This window comes from Homo sapiens, chromosome 3 (genome assembly GCF_000001405.40).
Source record: "Homo sapiens chromosome 3, GRCh38.p14 Primary Assembly".
NCBI lineage: Eukaryota > Metazoa > Chordata > Mammalia > Primates > Hominidae > Homo > Homo sapiens.
The window spans coordinates 29,983,540-30,010,000 of NC_000003.12; the positions used below are offsets into that span (position 1 = coordinate 29,983,540).

The following is a 26,461-nucleotide window of genomic DNA, read 5'->3' on the forward strand; positions in this document are numbered from 1 at the left end:
CAGTGGCTGGTGCCAGTTTTTCCTTTCCATATTTAGTATTTCCTTCAGGAGCTCTTGTAAGGCAGGCTCGGTGGTGATGAAATCTCTCAGCATTTGCTTGTCTGTAAAGGATTTTATTTCTCCTTTGCTTATGAAGCTTAGTTTGGCTGGATATGAAATTCTGGGTAGAAAATTCTTTTAAGAACGTTGAATATTTGCCACCATTCTCTTCTGGCTTGTAGGGTTTCTTCAGAGAGATCCACTGTTAGTCTGATGGGCTTCCCTTTGTGGATAACATGACCTTTCTTTCTGGCTGCCCTTAACATTTTTTCTTTCATTTCAACCTTGGTGAATCTGATGAATATGTGTCTTGGGGTTGCTCTTCTTGAGGAGTATATTGTGGTGTTCTCTGTATTTCCTGAATTTGAATGTTGGCCTGTCTTGCTAGGTTGGGGAAGTTCTCCTGGATAATATCCTGAAGAGCGTTTTCCAACTTGGTTCCATTCTCCCTGTCACTTTCCAGTACACCAGTCAAACGTAGGTTTGGTCTTTTCACATACTCCCATATTTCTTGGAGGCTTTGTTCATTCTTTTTCATTCTTTTTTCTCTAATCTTGTCTTCATGCTTTATTTCATTAAGTTGATCTTCAATCTCTCATATCCTTTCTTCCACTTGATCAATTTGGCTAATGATACTTGTCTATGCTTCATGAAGTTCTCATGCTGTGTTTTTCAGCTCCATCAGGTCATATATGTTCTTTTTTAAACGGGTTATTCTAGTCAGCAATTCCTCTAGCCTTTTTTCAAGTTTCTTAGCTTCCTTTCATTGGGTTAGAACATGCTCCTTTAGCTCAGAGGAGTTTGCTATTACTCACCTTCTGAAGCCCACTTCTGTCAATTCATCAAACTCATTCTCTGTCCAGTTTTGTTCTCTCACTGGCGAGAAGTTGTGATCCTTTCAAGGAGAAGAGGCATTCTGGTTTTTGGAATTTTCAGCCTTTTTGCACTGGTTTTTTCTCATCTTCATGGATTTATCTACCTTTAGTCTTTGATGCTGGTGACCTTCAGATGGGTTTTTTGTATGGATGTCCTTTTTGTTGATGTTGACGCTATTCCTTTCTGTTAGTTTTCCTTCTAACAGTCAAGCCCCTCTGCTGCAGGTCTGCTGGAGTTTGCTGGAGGTCCACTCCAGACCCTCTTTGCCTGGGTATGACCAGCAGAGGCTGCAGAACAGCAAATATTGCTGCCTGTTCCTTCCTCTGGAAGCTTCGTCCCAGAGGGGCACCCACCAGATGCCTGTATGAGGTGTCTGCCAGTCAGGAGGCATGAGGGTCAGGGGCCCACTTGAGGAGGCAGTCTGTCAGGGACCCACTTGAGGGACCCACTTGAGGAGGCAAAGCTCAAGCGCTGTGCTGGAAGATCTGCTGCTCTCTTCAGAGCCAGCAGGCAGGAACATTTGTCTGCTGAAGCTGCGCCCACAGCCACTCATACCCACAGGTGCTCTGTCCCAGGGAGATGGGTGTTTTATCTACAACCCCTAACTGGGGCTGCTGCCTTTCTTTCAGAGATGCCCTGCCCAGAGATGAGGAATCTAGAAAGGCAGTCTGACTATAGTGGCTTTGCCACCCAGTTTGAACATCTCAGCAGCTTTGTTTACACTGTGAGGGGAAAACAGCCTGCTCAAGCCTCAGTAAGGGCAGACACCCCTCCCCACACCAAGCGCCAGCATCCCAAGTGGACTTCAGACTGCTGTGCTGGCAGCAAGAATTTCATGCCAGTGGATCTTAGCTTGCTGGGCTCCGTAGAGGTGGCACCCTGGCTTCAGCCCCTTTTCCAAGGGAGTGAATGGTTTGTCTCACTGGCATTCCAGGTGCCACTGGGGTATGAAAAAAAAAAGCTGCATCTAGCAGCCCAAATAGCTGCCCGGTTTTGTGCTTGAAACCCAGGGCCCTAGTGGTGTAGGCACCCAAGAGAATCTCCTGTTTTGCCAGTTGTGAAGACTGTGAGAAAAGGCATAGTATCTGGGCCAGAATGCATGTTCCTTACCGCACAGTCCCTCACGGCTTCCCTTGGCTAGGAGAGGGAGTTATCCAACCCCTTGTGCTTCCCAGGTGAGGCGATACCCTACGCTGCTTCGGCTCACCCTCCTTGGGCTGCACCCACTATCTAACCAATCCCAATGAGATGAGCCAGGTACCTCAGTTGGAAATGCAGAAGTCACCCGCCTTCTGCATTGATCTTGCTGGGAGATGCAGACCAGAGCTGTTCCTATTCATCCGTCTTGCCAACTACCCCCAATGCTTATTAACCATACTACCTAGGAACTCCAGTTTGGCAAGGAAAGTCTAAATAATGGAATAGATACTCATGTGAACTAGTGAACATTGCTGTATATGGCCACAAGTCATGTTTCTAATGACCTCTAATTCACAGAATTTCTTCTTAGAGATGTAGAGAGTGGAGTGGGGATGGACCAGAGTAGTATTCTACAGAGGGTGCCAGTGACATCCTCTTATGCAAAGGATACACATACTAACTTACTGGGCAAGTTGCAAAGTTTAGAATTACTAACTTTAGAATAGGAAATACTCAAATAGGTAAGGATTTGTCCTTTTACTAGTATATAGTAAACCTTGGAAACCCATGACCAAAGGGCAGAACATGAGCCACAAATCTATCAATTCTGAACTTAATTAAATTCATGGTTGATAAAAATATATTCTCACTTGCTATAAATCTGCTAGATTTTTGAGATTCAATTAAAGAAACATTTTCCAGAATATATTTCTTAGAGTAGTAGTTTTAAGCAAAACTAATTAATGATACCAAAATCAAAACAAAAGTTTTAGAAATACTAGTTTATCACCTTTAATAGGCTTCTTCTGTAAAACACGATTTCTCAGTTTAATCATATGTCAATATCAAGAAGAGGATATATCAGGCAGCATTGCTGAAATACATTGGAACACAGAAAGCTTTACTCTCAGTATAGCTAGTGTTCCAAGGAATATATTGTAAAAAGGGCTAAATTAAAGGATATTTAGAACCTATATAGCAGAGGCAAATTACCTATCTGAAATGTCCAGGGAACTGTTATCTACAACATACTCTATAGAGTAATCTTGTTGAAAAGGCAGATGCTGGCTGGGCACAGTAGCTCACACCTGTAATCCTAGCACTCTGGGAGGCTGAGGCAGGTGGATCACTTGAGGCCAAGAGTTCAGGACCAGCTTGGCCAATATGGCAAAACCCTGTCTCTACTAAAAATACAAAAATTAACCAGGTGTGGTGGCACACACCTGTACTCTCAGCTACTGGGGAAGCTGAGGCATGAGAATCGCTTGAACCCTGGAGGCAGAGCTTGCAGTGAGCCAAGATCACGCCCCTGCACTCCATTCTGGGCAACAGAATGAAACCCAGTTTGAAAAGAGGAGGAAAACAACAACAACAAAGAAAAAGAAAAGATGGACTAGTGTTCAGATGCTTTCCTTGATTCAGAATCAGCATGCCTCTTAAATACTGAATATACTAAGATACACAAAACAGTAATTTAGCTTTTTCATATTGATACATGAACTTAGTATTTGATCTCAGCAAATTTAGTAAAATAATCAGGAGCTTTTGATTTGCCACAAAAAATCATTCCTCTAAACTTTATGAATTGAGAAAACTTGTCTTTATTTGATGATTCCAGTTTTGATGTTTTGTGTTATTGGTGAAGTTCAGAAACTCAGAAACATAGTTGATTCCATAGAAAATTCAATTCTTGAAGAGTAGAACTTTGAAGGTGCAGGATGAATATGTGTGTTATGAATATGGGTCATACTTTATGCTTATGTAACTGAACATGTAGTTTTACTGGGGCTCCCTTTCTTCATTGCAAAAATACAACTTATCCTCAATACATAATTTATTGACTACTACAACTTAGCAAAAAATGATTTGGCTTCATTATTCATCCCGATAAGAAAAATCTGGTGAATTAAAGGTATTGGAAAGGAAATTTTAACACTGATATGAGAATGAAATGGGAGAAGGGAACAATAGAGACTTCAATATTATCTGTAATACTCCATTTTTTTATATTTAAAAAAGTGATGCAAAAATGAAAAAATGACATTTGCCAATAATGCCAATGTATCACATAACTATTACATTACTTTGCTGCTTTTTTAAATTCAAAAAATAAATATTACTAACCATTTATATGATCATTCATTCAACAAGTACTTGTTGAGAGCCTACTATGTGATAGGTGCTAGCAATAAAAGAGAGTAAAAAAGAGACATCATCCCCAACTCTCCTGGAGTTTGTGTTTAGATGTGAAATGTGAAATGTTTGAGATCTTATTTAGAATAGAATGTGTAAAAGGACAAAGTGAGGAAATGGGGGTGAATTAACTCATATTGATAATTAAGAGGTAGGGCTACTGTGGGTACTTAATCAGCAAGCAAAGGCCTTTCAATACAGAGAGGAGCTGCCTTATTTTTAGTGAAAATTGAGCTGGGAAAAAATACACACTGGCTATGGGCCCCATAGCTAAAGCAGTCTCCTGTGGTATTTAATAATTTTCTCACTGGTTGCAGCTCAAAGTTCACATGCATTTTTCTTTGATTCTCTCTAGTATATGACTGCTGCTGCTCCTATGCAAGGGACCTACATTCCTCAGTACACGCCTGTGCCTCCGACAGCTGTTTCTATTGAAGTAAGTCTACCCCTGTCTAATAAAGAGGTTAGAAGAAATAAATCTCAGTCACATATACTGTAGTCCCCCATAACCATAGGAATCCTCACTTGCAATTTTTGTGCTACTCTAAAATATGACATTGTAAATTCAGTGTATGAAAGTATAAACATTTACTTGAATGTGGCTGTGTTTTGCTTTGCACATGAAATGAGCTCATCTGCTATGGAGGCACGACGGGAGTCTCTTTCATATTTAGAGAAAATTCCAGAGGCCAAATCACAACTCCATCAAATTTTAATCACAAATACTTCTTATAAAAGGAAAAAAGTTTGCAACTATGTGAATGAACTAATTCTCTAATGCCTTGTTCCTCAAAGAGTGGTTCCTAGACCAGCATCATTGGTATCCCTTGAGAGCTTGTTAGAAATGCAGACTTGCTGGGCATGATGGCATGCACCTGTAATCCTTGCTACTTGAGATGCTGAGACAGGAGGATCTCTTGAGACCAGAAGTTCGAGACCAGCCTGGGTCAAACAGTCAAACAGTGAGACCCTGTCAGAAGGAAGATCAGAAGGAAGAAAAGGAAAAAAAAAGAAATGTAGACTTTTAGGTACTATCCAGACCTACTGCATCTGAATTTGCATTTTAAGATGATCACTCAGTGATCCAAATGCACATTAAAATTTGAGAGACACTGGACTAATGCACTGGTTCTCAAATTTTCTGCACATTTGAATTATTTTGAGAGCTTTAAAAATATTGATTCCTGAGTCCTATCCCCAGAGATTATGATTTATTTGTCTGGAGTATAGACTGAACATCATATTTTTAAAAGATCTTAGATGATTCTAATACGTACCAAAGACTAGAAACCATTGCTCTAGGCCATGAACCTGCACAGGTTTACAGCTTCTTACAGACAAGAAAGAAGTTGTACAACTCTTATTGCTGTAGATATCATGAATGATGATGTCAGCTTGTCCTTAATGGAAGCTTTGCTGCTTTCATTCTCTCTTTCCATTGGGATAAATCTATGCCCTCTACACATCATTTTACTGGACAGGGCCATAAACTACATAGAAATGGAGAGGGCATAGAGCTATGCAGATGGTGGTAAAACACTTAGGTACCTATATTCTTCTTTCTGGTTCTAGCCATTACTGTTTTATTGCCCTTCTTTCCCCTCTCCTGATGCACAGGTGCATTATGGTCACCGTGCATTCCTTCTCAGCAGCTGGGAATCCCCTGCAGCTGATGTCTTTGCTACTCCATTTGTTGGCAAGCAACTACTGTGTTGGTACCACTCCACATAAAAATTCACCAAGACTCCCAATCTCTGAGATTGAGGGAAACCTTTACGGACTAAATTGGATCTTCTAAAATGTTTCCTGGTTTTGGTGTGTGACAAATGTTTGTTCATACCAAGGTTTAGGAAATCCAGATGTTTAACAGGGCACTGATGGAAATCAAGGAGTTCCAATGTTTAAATCTTTCATGTGTTCTAGACCTATAGGTCTCAAAGAATGTGTCATCTTAAACAGTTTTAATTGTCTTTTCAGAATTGCAAGAATATATGATTAAATTTCATGTTCTTTGGTATATTTAGCTTTCAAAAAGCACCTATGCGATAAGAAAATTAAAAATCTGGACATTCTAGGCAGTTTAAGTGTAAACTTCTGCCACATATTTTCATTTCTCTGTGTACACCAAAGACAAATACTTATCTACAAAATTTGACCATTTTGATGATTATTATGAGACATTTGACAGCGTGGCTTATTGGAAACAGTCTAATTATATTTAGGGATTAAAAGAAATATTTCATTGATAAAAATATAAATATACTCTGATATATTGCCTTGAACCAGTGATTATAAGGAAAAGCATTAATTCATTCTCTATGTGAAAACACTCATTGAACATTTATCAATATCTATAAAGGTGGGAGGTTTCAAAAAATAAATAATACCAAATAGTAAATTAGGAAAGAAAAGATTGAATAGAGAGACTTTTCAAATTCTAAAGAAGAAATTTAGGGAATTTCAGCGACAGAATTAACCAAGAACTTCTGAAATTTGACATCACTGCAGGTATCCAGGACTACAAATAAAACCAGGAAAATTTATCAGGATAGGTGCTCTTCTTAGGCCTACTAACAACCAAATAAAATCACCTATGCCTCTCTGGATTCCAAAAATATATTCCTGATTGTGACCAATTCCGGAAATCCACTCTTGCCAGCATCTGTGAGAAACAAAAAAAAAAAAAAAAAAAAAAATAGGGTGAAGGAAAAGCAAACCAAAATTAAGGACAAGTTTTGTTGTTGTTTTCTTAAAACTTCTTGATGACTTTCAGTTCATATACCAGAAAACAAAACAAATCAAATCAAATTACTGGAGAGAAAAATCTACTTAATAGCATCCTTTAAAAGATTTCCAAACTTTGATGTATATTTTTATTAAGGTCACTTTCCATTGTTATCCCAAATGGTATAGACATGATACAGTGAAATATGCCAGGAAAATGTTTGGACATACAAGTTTGTATAGGAATCCTGAATGAGGATAAATTGGCATTTATTGTGGATAAATGTGCAAACCTGGTTTAAAAGTTCCAAGTATAGGCAAAATTATTTTCTGACCACTTAACTACTCCAACAACTTCTAATGGCAAGGCTTCTTGGTGTCACATTAGGATGAATTACTTAGCCCTTATCTAAATGTGCTCTCTGGGTTTCCTCTGAGTACTTATTGTGACTTCATGTAGCTGAGGGTATCTCTACTTAAGCCAAATAGAAGAGGGGTACTTACAGCCTATCTAGAGAGGGCCCTTCACTGAAGCAAGTAAGGCTTTTATGTTCTTATTTGCCTCCTTAGGGTGTTGTTGCTGATACCTCTCCCCAGACAGTGGCACCTTCATCCCAGGACACCAGTGGTCAGCAGCAACAGATAGCAGTGGACACATCCAACGAACATGCACCTGCATATTCTTACCAACAGTCTAAGTAAGTCTGGGCTGTGCTAAGCTCTTTTCCTCAAGATCAGCCATCTTGACATCACTCTCTCATGTTGTATGTGTTAGCTTTTGCTGAAATATAAACCATCCCAAACTTAGCAACAGGCATTTATTTAGCTCATGATTATGTGGGTTTGAAATTTGGGCTAACTTTGGGTGGATGGTTCTTCTGATCTTGACAGGAATCAAACATCTAGGAACAGCTGCTGATTATCTATGCATCTCTGCTTCTGGGTGTTGCTAGCTGTTGGATGTGTGATGGAAGTGACTAGGCCATATGTTTCTGATCCTCCAGCAGGCTAATTCACATGGAAGTCTCAGAATTTCAAGAATAGTAAAGAGCAAGCCCAAATGTACAAGCACTCTTAATTCTGTTTATTACTAATTTTCTACTGTCTCATTAGCCAAAGCAAGTCACTTGGCCAAACAGTCAATGTAGCAGTTCACTTTGAAAAAGCTTGATATAGAGAGAGGCACTGCAGCCATTAAAAAAAAAAGCTACCATATTTATTATTGGAAAAATTATAATATTCCTACCTGAAACTGAATAGAGTCTCAGTCTCCTCACTCTTAAAGGAAGACAGTAACACTCCCCCTTGTAGGGTTACTTTGAATACACAGTTAAATGTCGATGAAAAAGGGTATTGTAAGATATGAAGCAATATAAAATATGGTCTTATTCAGGAATAAAATGGCAAGGATTTTCAGAATTACTCTTGAAAATCCTTAAATCACTCATAATGCAAAGTACATTTGGCTTTGTGTTGAGTAAACATTTGGCAAACTTTGGTAAAGTTTGAGGGCTGTTTATTGAAACCAAAAGAATTTAGAAAAGTAAAGTCTTCATACAAGTGTCTTGGCATGCAAACTATTCAACTTTGTAGATAGCAATAAAATCCCTGATGAATAGAGAATCCCCCGACAATCCTGCCTGTCTACAGAGTGCTGCTCCGTTATTTAAAATAATTTTTCTTATTAAAGAAAAAAAATATTCTGATATTTGTTAAAACATTAAGAAATAATTTATTTATTAGGTTGGTACAAAAGTAATTGCGGTTTTTGCCATTAAAAACCATAGGTATTAGGCCGGGCGCAGTGGCTCACGCCTGTAATCCCAGCACTATGGGAGGCCGAGGCGGGCGGATCACGAGGTCAGGAGATAGAGACCATCCTGGCTAACACGGTGAAACCCCGTCTCTACTAAAAATACAAAAAACTTAGCTGGGCATGGTGGCGGGTGCCTGTAGTCCCACCTACTCTGGGGTCGGGGTGGGGGGCTGAGGCAGGAGAATGGCGTGAACCCGGGAGGCGGAGCAGCTTGCGGTGAGCAGAGATTGTGCCACTGCACTCCAGCCTGGGTGACAGAGCAAGACTCCGTCTCAAAAAAAAAGAACTATAGGTATTAAAATTATTGCAATAGGGGAAGAGAGAGCATGCTCAGTTCAGAACACAGCAAAGACAGCTGGGGATCTGTAGCCAACAAGCCGAGTGAGGGGGTCAGTGAGTGGGGAATTACTGCTAACCTAAATTGACAGGATTTTTGCTGAAGGCAGATCAAGGAATGATAAGATCAAATGTAGGGGATGAGAAAATTGATCAGATATTGAGGGTGGTCATATCAACGATAGGCTATTCTCTTTAAACTGACTTAGCAAGATTCTTGCTAAAACTAGGCTATAAAGAACTGGCAAGAATGGGGGCAAAAGTCTACGCCTACTCAAGAAGGGGACTCAGTAGCCTGACTAAAAGTTGAGCAAGAAGAGAATCTGTCACTTTTTAACTTCAGTATACATTAAGAGATTTGTTTGTTAGATTCATCAAAGCAGTAAACTCTATTATGTGTGGTTTAGGTCTAAAGTCAGTTTTACAAATTAAATTTGCTCAGAATATGACTTAAACTTACAAATGTAAGGTATTATTATGATTGCCATTATTAATAGCAATAATGACTTTCAGAAAAGATTGTTACTGAGTAAAGCCATATGTTATTGTTAATTTAATTGACATAGCCTGTGTGAATCACTTTTATGTGCAAAACTAATACTGTGGTAGACTCTGAAACTCCAGTCCAAGCATATTGAAATTTTTTTTCAGCCTGGTCAACGGGTTATATGTGGGGAAAGGAGCAGATATTGGCTATGTATAAAGCATAGCAAGAGACATTGATTGGTGGGAGATGAGAAATACTGTGGGTAATGGGAAATTTTATGTGACCATTTGACTGAGCCACAGGGTACCCATATATTTGGCAAAACAATATTTCTGGGTATGTCTGTGAGGGTGATTTTGGATGAGGTTAATATTTGAATCAGTTAAAGCAGATTCCACCCCCCACTGTGGGAGGCTTCCATCCAATCAGTTAGTTGAACCCCTGAATAGAGCAAAAAGATTGAACCTCTCATGAATGAAGAAGAAGGAACTCCTGTTACTTGACTGCTAGAGCTAGGACATTGGTCTTTTCCTGCCTTTGAACTTAAACAAAAATATTGGTTCTTCTTAGATCTTGAGCCTGCCAGCTATAGAACTAGAATTTACATCAACTCTTTCAGTTCTCAGACTTTCAGACTCAAACTAGAATTACACTGTTGGCTCTCCTGGGTCTCCAGTCTGCCAGCTGCAGATCATTGTAGATCATGGGACTTCTCAATCTTAATAATTGTGCAAGTCAATTTCTTATTTTAAAAAATCTCTGTATCGGGGGGAGGAACCAAGATGGCCGAATAGGAACAGCTCCAGTCTACAGCTCCCAGTGTGAGCGACGCAGAAGATGGGTGATTTCTGCATTTCCATCTGATGTACCGGGTTCATCTCACTAGGGAGTGCCAGACTGGGCGCAGGTCAGTGGGTGCATGCACCGTGCGCAAGCCGAAGCAGGGCGAGGCATTGCCTCACTTGGGAAGCGCAAGGGGTCAGGGAGTTCCCTTTCTGAGTCAAAGAAAGGGGTGACGGACGGCACCTGGAAAATCGGGTCACTCCCACCCAAATACTGCACTTTTCCCACGGGCTTAAAAAATGGCGCACCACAAGATTATATCCCGCACCTGGCTCGGAGGGTCCTACCCCCACGGAGTCTCGCTGATTGCTAGCACAGCAGTCTGAGATCAAACTGCAAGGCGGCAGTGAGGCTGGGGGAGGGGCACCCGCCATTGCCCAGGCTTGATTAGGTAAACAAAGCATCCCGGAAGCTCCAACTGGGTGGAGCCCACCACAGCTCAAGGAGGCCTGCCTGCCTCTGTAGGCTCCACCTCTGGGGACAGGGCACAGACAAACAAAAAGACAGCAGTAACCTCTGCAGACTTAAATGTCTCTGTCTGACAGCTTTGAAGAGAGCAGTGGTTCTCCCAGCACGCAGCTGGAGATCTGAGAATGGGCAGACTGCCTCCTCAAGTGGGTCCCTGACCCCCGAGCAGCCTAACTGGGAGGCACCCCCCAGCAGGGGCACACTGACACCTCACACGGCAGGGTATTCCAACAGACCTGCAGCTGAGGATCCTCTCTGTTAGAAGGAAAACTAACAAACAGAAAGGACATCCACACCAAAAACCCATCTGTACATCACCATCATCAAAGACCAAAAGTAGATAAAACCACAAAGATGGGGAAAAAACAGAACAGGAAAACTGGAAACTCTAAAACGCAGAGTGCCTCTCCTCCTCCAAAGGAACGCAGTTCCTCACCAGCAACGGAACAAAGCTGGATGGAGAATGACTTTGACGAGCTGAGAGAAGAAGGCTTCAGAAGATCAAATTACTCTGAGCTATGGGAGGACATTCAAACCAAAGGCAAAGAAGTCAAAAACTTTGAAACAAATTTAGAAGAATGTATAACTAGAATAACCAATACAGGGAAGTGCTTAAAGGAGCTGATGGAGCTGAAAACCAAGGCTCAAGAACTACGTGAAGAATGCAGAAGCCTCAGGAGCCGATGCGATCAACTGGAAGAAAGGGGATCAGCAATGGAAGATGAAATGAAGCGAGAAGGGAAGTTTAGAGAAAAAAGAATAAAAAGAAATGAGCAAAGCCTCCAAGAAATATGGGACTATGTGAAAAGACCAAATCTACATCTGATTGGTGTACCTGAAAGTGATGGGGAGAATGGAACCAAGTTGGAAAACACTCTGCAGGATATTATCCAGGAGAACTTCCCCCATCTAGCAAGGCAGGCCAACGTTCAGATTCAGGAAATACAGAGAACGCCACAAAGATACTCCTCGAGAAGAGCAACTCCAAGACACATAATTGTCAGATTCACCAAAGTTGAAATGAAGGGAAAAATGTTAAGGGCAGCCAGAGAGAAAGGTCGGGTTACCCTCAAAGGGAAGCCCATCAGACTAACAGCGGATCTCTCAGCAGAAACTCTACTACAAGCCAGAAGAGAGTGGGGGCCAATATTCAACATTCTTAAAGAAAAGAATTTTCAATCCAGAATTTCATATCCAGCCAAACTAAGCTTCATAAGTGAAGGAGAAATAAAATCCTTTACAAACAAGCAAGTGTTGAGAGATTTTGTCACCACCAGGCCTGCCTTACAAGAGCTCCTAAAGGAAGCACTAAACATGGAAAGGAACAACCGGTACCAGCCACTGCAAAATCATGCCAAAATGTAAAGACCATCAAGACTAGGAAGAAACTGCATCAACTAATGAGCAAAATAACCAGCTAACATCATAATGACAGGATCAAATTCACACATAACAATATTAACTTTAAATGTAAATGGACTAAATGCTCCAATTAAAAGACACAGACTGGCAAATTGGATCAAGAGTCAAGACCCATCAGTGTGCTGTATTCAGGAAACCCATCTCACTTGCAGAGACACACATAGGCTCAAAATAAAAGGATGGAAGAAGATCTACCAAGCCAATGGAAAACAAAAAAAGGCAGGGGTTGCAATCCTAGTCTCTGATAAAACAGACTTTAAACCAACAAAGATCAAAAGAGACAAAGAAGGCCATTACATAATGGTAAAGGGATCAATTCAACAAGAAGAGCTAACTATCCTAAATATATATGCACCCAATACAGGAGCACCAAGATTCATAAAGCAAGTCCTTAGTGACCTACAAAGAGACTTAGACTCCCACACATTAATAATGGGAGACTTTAACACCCCACTGTCAACATTAGACAGATCAACGAGACAGAAAGTCAACAAGGATACCCAGGAATTGAACTCAGCTCTGCACCAAGCGGACCTAATAGACACCTACAGAACTCTCCACCCCAAATCAACAGAATATACATTTTTTTCAGCACCACACCACACCTATTCCAAAATTGACCACATACTTGGAAGTAAAGCTCTCCTCAGCAAATGTAAAAGAACAGAAATTATAACAAACTATCTCTCAGACCACAGTGCAATCAAACTAGAACTCAGGATTAAGAATCTCACTCAAAACTGCTCAACTACATGGAAACTGAACAACCTGCTCCTGAATGACTACTGGGTACATAACGAAATGAAGGCAGAAATAAAGATGTTCTTTGAACCAACAAGAACAAAGACACAACATACCAGAATCTCTGGGACACATTCAAAGCAGTGTGTAGAGGGAAATTTATAGCACTAAATGCCCACAAGAGAAAGCAGGAAAGATCTAAAATTGACACCCTAATATCACAATTAAAAGAACTAGAAAAGCAAGAGCAAACACATTCAAAAGCTAGCAGAAGGCAAGAAATAACTAAAATCAGAGCAGAACTGAGGGAAATAGAGACACAAAAAACCCTTCAAAAAATTAATGAATCCAGGAGCTGGTTTTTTGAAAAGATCAAAAAAATTGATAGACCGCTAGCAAGACTAATAAAGAAAAAAAGAGAGAAGAATCAAATAGACGCAATAAAAAATGATAAAGGGGATATCACCACCGATCCCACAGAAATACAAACTACCATCAGAGAATACTACAAACACCTCTACGCAAATAAACTAGAAAATCTAGAAGAAATGGATAAATTCCTGGACACATACACTCTCTCAAGACTAAACCAGGAAGAAGTTGAATCTCTGAATAGACCAATAACAGGAACTGAAATTGTGGCAATAATCAATAGCTTACCAACCAAAAAGAGTCCAGGATCACATGGATTCACAGCCGAATTCTACCAGAGGTACAAGGAGGAACTGGTACCATTCCTTCTGAAACTATTCCAATCAACAGAAAAAGAGGGAATCCTCCCTAACTCATTTTATGAGGGCAGCATCATTCTGATACCAAAGCCGGGCAGAGACACAACAAAAAAAGAGAATTTGAGACCGATATCCTTGATGAACATTGATGCAAAAATCCTCAATAAAATACTGGCAAAACGAATCCAGCAGCACATCAAAAAGCTTATCCACCATGATCAAGTGGGCTTCATCCCTGGGAGGCAAGGCTGGTTCAATATACGCAAATCAATAAATGTAATCCAGCATATAAACAGAGCCAAAGACAAAAACCACATGATTATCTCAATAGATGCAGAAAAAGCCTTTGACAAAATTCAACAACCCTTCATGCTAAAAACTCTTAATAAATTAGGTATCGATGGGACGTATTTCAAAATAATAAGAGCTATCTATGACAAACCCACAGCCAATATCATACTGAATGGGCAAAAACTGGAAGCATTCCCTTTGAAAACTGGCACAAGACAGGGATGCCCTCTCTCACCACTCCTATTCAACATTGTGTTGGAAGTTCTGGCCAGGGCAATCAGCCAGGAGAAAGAAATAAAGGGTATTCAATTAGGAAAAGAGGAAGTCAAATTGTCCCTGTTTGCAGATGACATGATTGTATATCTAGAAAACCCCATCATCTCAGCCCCAAATCTCCTTAAGCTGATAAGCAACTTCAGCAAAGTCTCAGGATACAAAATCAATGTACAAAAATCACAAGAACTCTTATACACCAATAACAGACAAACAGCCAAATCATGAGTGAACTCCCATTCACAATTGCTTCAAAGAGAATAAAATACCTAGGAATCCAACTTACAAGAGATGTGAAGGACCTCTTCAAGGAGAACTACAAACCACTGCTCAATGAAATAAAAGAGGATACAAACAAATGGAAGAACATTCCATGCTCATGGGTAGGAAGAATCAATATCGTGAAATTGGCCATACTGCCCAAGGTAATTGATAGATTCAATGCCATCCCCATCAAGCTACCAATGACTTTCTTCACAGAATTGGAAAAAACTACTTTAAAGTTCATATGGAACCAAAAAAGAGCCCACATCGCCAAGTCAATCCTAAGCCAAAAGAACAAAGCTGGAGGCATCACGCTACCTGACTTCAAACTATACTACAAGGTTACAGTAACCAAAGCAGCATGGTACTGGTACCAAAACAGAGATACAGACCAATGGAACAGAACAGAGCCCTCAGAAATAATGCCGCATATCTACAACTATCTAATCTTTGACAAACCTGACAAAAACAAGCAATGGGGAAAGGATTCCCTATTGAATAAATGGTGCTGGGAAAACTGGCTAGCCATATGTAGAAAGCTGAAACTGGATCCCTTCCTTACACCTTATACAAAAATTAATTCAAGATGGATGGATTAAAGACTTAAATGTTAGACCTAAAACCATAAAAACTCTAGAAGAAAACCTGGGCAATACCATTCAGGACATAGGCATGGGCAAGGACTTCATGTCTAAAACACCAAAAGCAATGGCAACAAAAGCCAAAATTGACAAATGGGATCTAATTAAACTAAAGAGCTTCTGCACAGCAAAAGAAACTACCATCAGAGTGAACAGGCAACCTACAGAATGGGAGAAAATTTTCGCAACCTACTCATCTGACAAAGGGCTAATATCCAGAATCTACAATGAACTCAAACTAGAAAAAAACAAAAAACCCCATCAAAAAGTGGGCAAAGAATATGATCAGACACTTCTCAAAAGAAGACATTTATGCAGCCACAAGACACATGAAAAAATGCTCATCATCACTGGCCATCAGAGAAATGCAAATCAAAACCACAATGAGATATCATGTTACACCAGTTAGAATGGCAATCATTAAAAAGTCAGGAAACAACAGGTGCTGGAGAGGATGTGGAGAAATAGGAACACTTTGACACTGTTGGTGGGACTGTAAACTAGTTCAAACATTGTAGAAGTCAGTGTGGTGATTCCTCAGGGATCTAGAACTAGAAATACCATTTGACCCAGCCATCCCATTACTGGGTATATACCCAAAGGATTATAAATCATGCTGCTATAAAGGCACATGCACATGTATGTTTATAGCGGCACTATTCACAATAGCAAAGACTTGGAACCAACCTAAATGTCCAAATAGTCTGGATTAAGAAAATGTGGCACATATACACCATGGAATACTATGCAGCCACAAAAAATGATGAGTTCATGTCCTTTGTAGGGACATGGATGAAACTGGAAACCATCATTCCCAGCAAACTATCACAAGGACAAAAAACCAAATACTGCATGTTCTCACTCATAGGTGGGAATTGAACAATGAGAACACATGGACACAGGAAGGGGAACATCACACACCGGGGACTGTTGTGGGGTGGGGGGAGTGGGGAGGGATAACATTAGGAGATATACCTAATGCTAAATGATGAGTTAATGGGTGCAGCACACCAACATGGCACATGTGTACATATGTAACAAACCTGCACATTGTGCACCTGTACCCTAAAACTTAAAGTATAATAATAATAAAATAATAATTTAAAAAAAGACCTAAAACCATAAAAACCCTAGAAGAAAATCAGGACATAGGCATGGGCAAAGACTTCATGCCTAAAACACCAAAAGCAACAGCAAAAAGAAGCCAAACTAGACAAATGGGATCTAATTAAACTAAAGAACTTCTGCACAGCAAAAGAAACTATCATCAGGGTGAACAGGCAACGTACAGAATGGGAGAAAATGTTTGCAATCTACCCATCTGACAAAGGTCTAATATCCAGAATCTACAAAGAACTTGAACAAATTTACAAGAAAAAAACAACCCCATCAAAAAGTAAACAAAGGATATGAACAGACACTTCTCAAAAGAAGACATTTATGCAGCCAACAAACATGAAAAAAAGCTCATCACCACTGATTATCAGAGAAATGCAAATCAAAACCACAATGAGATACCATTTCATGCCAGTTAGAATGGCAATCATTAAAAAGTCAGGAAACAACAGATGCTGGAGAGGATATGGAGAAATAGGAATACTTTTACACTGTTGGTGGGAGTGTAAATTAGTTCAACCATTGTGGAAGACAGTGTGGTGATTCCTCAAGGATCTAGAACCAGAAATACCATTTGACCCAGCAATCCCATTACTGGGTATATACCCAAAGGATTATAAATCATTCTACTATAAAGACACATGCCCACGAATGTTTACTGTGGCACTGTTCACAATAGCAAAGAGTTGGAACCAACCCAAATGCCCATTAATGATAGACTTGATAAAGAAAATGTGGCATATATACACCATGGAATACCATGCAGTCATAAAAAGGATGAGTTCATGTCCTTTGTAGGGACATGGATGAAACTGGAAACCATCATTCTCAGCAAACTAACACAAGAACAGAAAACCAAACACTGCATATTCTCACTCATAAGTGGGAGTTGAACAGTGAGAACATGGACATCGGGGGTGGGCGCATCACATACTGGGGCCTGTCAGGGAGTGGGGGACTAAGGAAGGGATAATATTAGGATAAATACCTAATGTAGTTGATGGGTTGATGGGTACAGCAAATCACCATGGCATGTGTGTATACCTATGTAACAAACCTGCACGTTCTGCATATGTATCCCAGAACTTAAAGTATAATAAAAAAAAGAAAAGAAAAATTAAATTATTAAAGAAGTCTAACAGTTTCATCTACAATTTGTAATTTAGATACCTATGTAATTCTTTCAAGGACAATTTTTTTAAATATTCATGGCTTTCTTTATGGGTTCCCTAACCACTTCTTTAAGTTTACCTGTGAGTAATCCAGTAGAGGGAATATACTGTGACATTTTTCCACACTCTGGATCACAGAATCCCACTTTTTACATAGCATTACATGAAGCTAGTCTGTCAGGAATTATTCTGGAAAATATTGCTTCATTTGGCTATCTCTGAGACTTCCTCCTCCTCTAAAATAGATTTCTAAGATTATCGTTTGTTACGTTCCAATATATTCACTGTGCCTTTTTTTTGAGGGTGGAGGAGTGAGGAGAGGATTCAAAATGACTCTGTATTCTTAAATTCAGTGAAATTCCTACTCTACCATATTTACTCTGACTTTAGAAGGCCCTCATCTCAACCCTGGTATTGCAAGTTCTTTTTATACTTCAAATCTTCTCTGGCTAACTGAACTGCCATGAATACCAAATTTCTATACATTGTCAGTATATCAATGATGAGCAAATTATGTCCTTCACATTTGTGAGTAATACAACATTCTATGTATTATAATATATTGTAATAATACATTGTATGTGCACTGTTTTACCGTTTGCAATTGATTTCCATACTCATTATTTCTTCACATGAATTCCTGTTTTCAAGTTATTTCTTTTTATTTTATTTCTTATTTTATTATTTATTTTATTTATTTATTTTATTTCTAAAATGTCCAACTTAAAATGTTCTTGTTGCCAAAGATCCCAGCCTAAAAAAAATTAAAACCCTTCTGTTTTTAGGAATTTCAGTGCAATCCATAAGTATTATGTAAATGTGCACATTCACATTTATTCTAGGACAGAGGAGATCGGCAGGAGTGAATTCAGTTCTTTGAAATGGCAAGATCCTTTTTACTTCAAACTTCAGCCAGCAAATATGAAGTTGTAAAGTACTACCATCTATTTGCCATCATTTGTTTTCATGTGGCAATGGGACCATTTTAAAGACCAAGCAAATTATGGGAGAGGGCTATTGGAAACATTTGTGTACAGTTATAAAACCTAAAGTAGTTCCAGCCTAGCTCATAAATATATCAATGCTTTTGAGACCAGTGAATATCAAGTACTTGAGCTTGATGGGTCAGGTATTCTATGCACTGTAGTCCACTGAATAAGACATCATTCACTGAGCAGCTGCTAAAGAGATTCATGGTGTTTTAGGCATTTTTGGTTCAGTACACAATAATACCAGAGTAGAAGATGGGAGTGAGAACAAAGAACAGACTCTCCCCCAACACACACACACATACACACACAACTATATAACCAAGAAAAAAAATTGTTCCCTTAGTAATATAGATTTTTAGACATAAATGGAGTAAGTCTATAGTTTGCAAAGCTAGAGACAGTTAAAATATAAACCATGGTTCCCATGACTACCACTAATAAAATTTTTTCTTATTGTTGCTACTGTATGAAAATTGTAATTGCTTTACTTCTTAGAAGATATCTCACTTTCTCATATAACACAGTAATATATTTTTAGGGACTTAACCTATTGATAAAAATTGAATATTCGATCTCTCAACTAGTTGCTTTCCTCACATGATTTTAGGAAGAAATTAATCAGGTTCCTAATTGCCGTAGCTGGCTCACATGATGGCTTTTTGCAAATCAGGAAACTATGTCCTTTCCAGGCCATCTCAAGCTAAACAATACACAGTTTAAAACACTGTGAATTGGGGTTACAGCTTTCCTGCAGGGTACATACCTTGGGGAGCAGACGATGGGCTGAAATTTAGCCCCCACTCCCTCAATCATACATCTTATATAGTAAACAATCTGTAAAACTATACATAGTAACACTGAGTCAAATTTACTAAATTAAGCAACTGTGCATCAGAAGAACTTGCATAACTTTTTGCTGGCATCCAATACCCTGAGCAAAGAGGCCTTCAGCTAAATGTAACTTACAGAGATAATATAGAGGTCCTTCTTTCTATAGCACCACTCTGAAGTTATTTTACAAACTTCTAATCTGTGGGCAAAAAAGCTAAGAGTAAAGTCATCCTGCTGGAAGGTTAACCTTGCAACATAGAAGGGGCAGTAGCAGAAGTCTTTATTTGACATGAGCTAAGCAAAGTGGCATATAGTAAAATGATATTTTTCTAGTTAAACACCTATTGTGTATATACCACTCTGCCTAAAGGGTAAAGGGTAGAAGTAAAATATAGTTCCTGCTCTCACAAATTTATAATCTTGACAGGGGGAATGAACAAGAAAGTAGAGAAGGGGAAGAGGAAAAGAGAATAAAACTGCATTGGCCTCTTAACTGTCTCACTTATTTCCTCAGGCAATAAGCCTTATGTAAATGTACGTGATGAATACCATGAGATAACATACAACCCAGTTATTTTGGGTGCATAGTAAAGAATCTCATATTTGTTGCTGGAATTAGTGATGATTCCTATAGTAGTTTTGAAGGAACAGAATTACTCAAAGGATCTGTAAGGAGCTATAACATAAGCTATTACCCTTGATTTTTAATGTAAACAAACTCTCTGGCCCAAATCTGTATTTAAATGAAAGTGGCAGAATTTGACAATCTCATAGACTCAGTATGATTTTATGATGCTTTTGTGACTATGTTACATTGAAAGCTTGGTATCTTTTAAAGCTGCCTCATTGGAAAAGGGCACAGAAGGTGATTTCAAAGTTACTTTAATTTAATGACCACTCTTATTCAATTGTTTTCACAGACCATAAACAGGACTGAAGAATGTCTGTCTGAATCTTTGCCTTGAATGAAGAAACTTCATTGAACAAGAAGTTGGCTTCCAGTTTGCACAGACGTCAATGGAATGCATTTTTTTGTTGTTGTTGTTGTTTTTTTTTTAGTGTTATACCTTACCCAATGAAAGCAAAGTTTTTATGTGCTGTGCAAATGGTCTTCATGTGGTCTGACAATTTATTTTTGCCATCATTTTTTTAATTAAAGAAAAAATTTCCAGAAGAGGAAAAAAAAACTACAAAAAACAAAACATTGAAGGTTGATATTTTATGTGGAAGAACATTTGAATTGAATTCAGAATTTTTCTGAAGGTGTAGATACTTTTTTTTTTTTTTTAACAGAAAACCTGATGTCAAGAGGTGGGCAATAGAAATGGAAACAAATTGTCTTCCTCAATAATTAAGCTACTTTCTCTTTTTCCCTTCTTGTTTTAATCTAGTGGGTTTTTTATTTTATTTTTTCTTAGAAATATGTAGGTAAGGTTTATCTTGAATCTTAATTGCCTTAATTTTAAGGACGTCAAAGGCTCTCGAGGCAAGCTGTCAACGTCTTGTTGAAAACAAAAATCAAGAAAGAATTGAAATACTGTGCCGGCTTTCACTGGCACAGAAGTTTAAGACTATGAGTTTTTAGGGTGAAGAAAAAACTGTACAGTTTAAATGAAAATGTTTTTCTTCATTTGAAGAAAATTTGTTGATAAACCATGGCAACTGCAAGAATTGGAAAAATGCTGGGACTTTTCATGAACTTTGTCTTAAGTGTTGACATGAATCATTCTAAAAGGCTAAAACATTTTACAGTAAAGTTATTAAGGTTGGTTTAAAAACAACTGCATTAGAAATAATGCGTGTTTGGGGGGCAGAATGCAGATTTTTTTAATTTACAAAGCGTGATCGCTAGCAAAAGCATTAGTGCTTTTTATCTGCAGTCTTTTTTATGAGCTTTACAAAGTTTTTAGTCAGCTTTGCTTGTCACATTGCAAAACCTAGCTTAAGAGCATTAAAAAAAAAAACTTAAGTAGATAGGAGCTTATGGTCAAAAAGTGCAAAAAAAAAAACAAAAAAAAAGCAATAGATAGAGAAATTGTTGACAATTTCTGTAGTCTTTCCTAGTTGTGATCAAATTCAGCCTATGGATGGCCTATTTTATACCAAAGATGAAGTGACACCCTATTACAGTCCAGAAGATAGAGGTTGTTTTCGTTTCTTTTCTTTTTAAAAAAAAAAAAATTTATTTGACCGACATGGCCGGACCAGTTCTTTCTTTGTTGTTTGTTTAAACTACCTTCCACTGGTGTTTTACATAGTGCAAAAAAAAAAAGAGGGTGGGGGGAGTTGTCTCTCTTTTCTTTAAATGTGTATTCATTGATAGCAGAAGCTTGTACCTGCTGTGTTTAGCAGTTTCAGCATGAAGAGTTCTGGATATGAACTGATTCATAGAGCCAAGTGGCTTTAAATTCTGTGAGCTTTTCTGGTTTCTCACTAGCTGTCTTGAATAGTGAAACCTGTATTGATGGCCACTAGTAAACCAAGATGCTTATTTAACAGGTGGAATATTCTTTATATGAAATTTCAGCTAAAGACACTTTCTGGACCTGGTCTGAAAGGTCATTTGTCAAAAAAGCTTAGGGATATTCTGTGAAATGGTGAGTGGTCTCCTGGAAAGGTCTCATTGTATTTGAACAATAGTCTTCCCTCTAAATTACAACACCTCTGGGTTTTGTCTTTACACCTCTGTCTTTGTCATCACCTACCATGAATAGTCACCTTGGTTTTGCAAATGGGGAGGGGGTATCATCTTTTTGCCTGTTTTCACTGTATTTTTGTATATTGGTGTTGCCGAAAGAACTTTTTCTTTCAGTTTAATTCTTTGAGGCATGTAGGACCAATAAGATTGAGAATTCTATTGGTGGAATTTAGGGAAGTCCTTAAAATGCTAGTTGACAATCAAGGAACAGTATGATTTATATCAATAAGAACCAAAAGAATTAGGTTTGATCAATCATTTAAGCCAAGGAGGAATACTTGCATTTAGAACAATGCAAAACTTTGTCTAAAATGAATTAAATTGACCCACCTGTAAAATATATCTACATTTTTAATTCATGAGATGATATGTGTTCAACCTTTACAGTTTTACCTGAAATTAAGGACAATGGAATAGAATTTGTTAAGTGAACCATTCACTAGATTGCTTTCTGAATGAATCCTTTGAATCAAATAGGTGAAACTCTTTTCAAAAACTAAGTCAGTCACAGGAGCCTGTCTTAGTCCAAAAGAAGCAGGGAAATGTATTTAAGTGTACTATAAAACAGGGTAGGCTTTTTAAAAACTAAAAAGTTTTAAAGGTAAATCATATTCCCATTAGGTCAACATGAGTAATAAGGTTGACTCATGTGAAATTGTCAATATTCTACTATTTCTGTAAACTCTGGTTCTCTTATTTGCAACCCCATGCACTGGAAGCCCAAATCAGAGAATGACTCCATATATTTATGGTCACATTGGAGACAAAAGTGTATCCAAGAAAATGTAGTGTGCGTTATAGAGAAATTCCAACTGGTCACACTCACCATTATGGTTTTTCATGCTTTAGAGAAAATGCTAGATTTATACTGTCTTTTGTTCCATCCTTCAGCTTCCCATGCATTATAAAGGTGGCACTTAAGTTTTTATCTTTGAAAAGTGGGCCCCAAAGTTTTTTGGGGTACAAAAAGACATGTATGAGAACCATATTTTCTGTTTCTCTTTTTCACTCTCTAAACTCTTTTTGTATAAATAAGGATTATCCTGGGCATAATTCATTTGAATATGAAACCAACATACTTTCTTTCATTTTTGTGAAAAAATAACCAAAAACATGTATTAATGTGATACAAAGAAAGTCTCATTCACACAATCAACAATGAGGCTAAGAGGTAGCTACCATGTGGCTAATGAATGTGCCTAGGTAACTTCCTGTTTCTATTCAAAACTGCTGCTTTATTTGTACATTCAGAAATATTTTTTTCAACTATGAAATTTCAATATCAATTTTTTAAGCCAGTTTCTGCAAAAGGAAATGACCTGTCATTTGATGTGTTCATGTGTGTTTTGTGTTTGGATAGTTTATATCATGCCATTCTATAAAATGTATGTTTTCAAACCAAAAAGAAAAAAAATAGAAGGAAAACAACGGCACATACTCAAATTTGCCCTGCTTTGTCTGTTGTCTTACCTAAGACTTGTTTTGAAGAGCCAAGTCTGGGAGAGAAAAAAAAGCATCAACAGGTAAGCAGCATTACATTGTGTGGTAATAAACCAAAATAAGTTTTCAATATATACAGACAACAGAATTCAAATTTAATCAACAAAATATATTGTAGTGATTTGTTTGTTTGTTTGTTTGAGACGGAGTCTCGCTCTGTCGCCCATCCTAACTAGGACTATAATCTTTTTTTTTTTCTTTAAGTTGAAGTTAATTTTCTGTGCATTCTGGTCCACCAGATTTTCAAGCATTTATTTGGATGTTTCCATTTTTCCTTTTGACTTTAATAGCCAAGACTTAGCTTAAACATCAGGAAACAAACTAAAGCCACAATCCAAATGAGAGAAACACTGTCTCGTCTAAACTCTAGTTTCATGGTCAGTGCAACAGTGAGTTTTCTTTTAATAATGGTATGGTATTGTCAAGGGAGGCAAAGTGTTCATGGTAACTTGGAGCTCCCCAATACATGGCCATGTCTTCTAAAGACAACGTAATGAGCCCAAGTGAACTGAAGGTCATACTGGCAGGTGCTGATGACAGTTTGTCCTTGAATGCTGACATGTCTTGAATATTGCAAATGTCATAATACTCTTTTAAAACAGTCCTCTACCTGACTCTAGTTTTGCGAGGATTAGTTTGTTTCCTTGGTAGATTTCAACATTTCAGAATGTTACCTCCAAATTTCACTTGAATTACTTCCTCCTGTGACCTTAGCAGATCTGTCACATTTGAAAGCATATGACTCACTTCCACCCCCTTCTAATGAAAAACTGCATGGTGTTAAAAGCACTCTCATTAGAAATATAAGGCTGAGAACTGAAGAAGGCTGTTTAAAGCAGGAATTTCACTTTATTTTACTATGCCTAAAAATACATCTTTGGACCCCTTGCAAAGTGCTTTAAAAGTACTTTCAATTTATGCATGACTCCAAAAAAGTAATTTTTTTTTCCCAAAAAAACCTCTTTATTTAAATAATTGGGATATTTGCTAAATACCTATTTTTTTTTACAGTGGCCTAAAACCCCTATTAATGAAAAGTGAAATTTGATTTAATTAGGACTCTTGCAGTCATCTTCACGACTGAGGAGAAGTTTCAATAGGCTGTCTAGACATTATGATGTTAATAGGAGATTAAAATACATTTGGCAATTCATTTTCATTCTTAATTTGAGTGCATGAACCACTGCAGATGAGCTGATAAGCAGAAATTCTCAAGTGGGTTTCACTAATAAATGTTTTTTTATATGATTTGAAATCAAGTAAAGGGACAATGTTTATGTACGTGTATAACAACATTCAGCACATTTGAGGAATCACACACTATAATAAAGCTTAAACCTGTCATAGAACCTTGATCTATATTACTTTGTCTTCAGTAAAAAGTGAAGGATGAGATTTTGTCTTTCATGTTATTGTAGCTGGCATGCTTCAAAATTTTGAGCTTACTGGGACTGACAGCCTCTCACTTCAATCTGAGGGATTGACAGAATTTAAACAGGCTCATTGATTCTGTACACTCTACCCTTCCTGTGGCAAGTGATAATGGGATTTCATTAATGAATCAATTTGTTTTACAAATGACATCCACTGTGGCATTGGAAGACAGTTGGGTCTGACTCAAGTTTAACATTTCTTACCAAACATTCTTAAGTATGAAATTGGTCCTTTAATCCAAATGCTCTTGGTCATGGCTGTCCTTTGCGGATTACATAGCATTCAGGAAAGTACAAAAACTAAACACTAAATCCCCAACTGGCCCCAAAGACCTTTTATGATGTGAGAGACAAGAGTTCACCCCAGATTAATTTCTTTTATCATTGGCTTTATACTCTAACATATAGATACTCTCTATAGCAAAAAAGGGATGAATGGCTTTCAATATTCATTTCTGTTTATTTTTGTGAGGGAAAATAATATATCAAGAAAATTTTCTTCCACTTAGAAAGCTTTAAAGCTGAAGTAGAGGTGCAGTCAAGCTTGGATCTGCAGGAAGAACCACTAGGCCACTGAGTCATACTTGAGCTTTTCTTACTACTGCCCCAATTTCTAAATTGTGCATAAATACAATCACTCTCAATTTTTGAAGGGCTAATTATCTACTTTGTGGGTGTGTTTTGTTTTTTCTTTTCAGCGTGTAGGGCTTGGGCTCTGTTTCCTTTTATTAGCATGTCACCTGAGGGTGGAACAAACAATTGGAAATAAAATTTGATTATTTTATTTCTTATAAAGTATTAATTTCTTAAGGGGGTTTGAAATCATTGGTAAAATTAATATCAGTACATTATATGTCATAAATTTTGATTATCTATAATGTCTTTTCTTATCTACCACAAATAATTGAGAGTTGGCTAAATTCTTGCAGAATATATGGGAAAAAAATCATAGCAAAGAATTCAGCTTCCCTCAAAAGAAAGCTATTTTTGTTTCCTTCACTCCACTAAATTTGAACCAGTAGCACGGATCAACACGACTTCTGCAATGAGAGTATAACGGTAGCTCTTGGTACAGTCATATTCATATTTTTAAATCTTTCTTTGACCAAAACTATTGCATTGTTTTCATTACATTTTGACTGCGTTACTTATTAAGGCCGAATGACTTTGACACCCCCGTGGATTATTTTTATGATCACATCAAATTTAAACAATGTCCAAAGTGTAACTTTAATGTTATATTTTGTTTCAAACCCTCTGGTCTAAGATTATTGAGAAAGATGTTTTTTCCTCCTCCCTCAAATATGTTATCTCTTCATATATAAAAAAATAAGTTATTCCATGCTTTTCAGGAACTGTAAAAATTATTTCAAAAAGATATTTGAAAAAGTTTTCTCTATTCTGGACACAAATGCTTCCATTTATTTCAAAAGA

At 37.9% G+C, this 26,461-nt stretch overlaps 1 protein-coding gene across 15 annotated transcripts in view; it reads left to right on the forward strand.

Moving 5' to 3' along the window:
• The window catches only part of RBMS3 (RNA binding motif single stranded interacting protein 3), a 729,325-nt gene that overhangs the window by 702,469 nt on the left and 395 nt on the right, over nt 1-26,461 (forward strand). For 11 of the 15 annotated variants that reach the window (XM_005265061.3, XM_017006180.2, XM_017006179.2 and 8 more), the window contains 3 exons: nt 4,604-4,684; nt 7,543-7,670; nt 20,317-26,461. The exon at nt 20,317-26,461 is cut by the window's right edge. In XM_005265061.3, the coding sequence (XP_005265118.1) occupies nt 4,604-4,684; nt 7,543-7,670; nt 20,317-20,323 (216 nt within the window). In that variant the 3' untranslated portion in view covers nt 20,324-26,461. Of the gene's footprint in view, nt 1-4,603; nt 4,685-7,542; nt 7,780-20,316 lie in introns of those variants that run through there. The other 4 variants (NM_001177712.2, NM_014483.4, XM_024453454.2 and 1 more) reach the window with 2 other exon arrangements.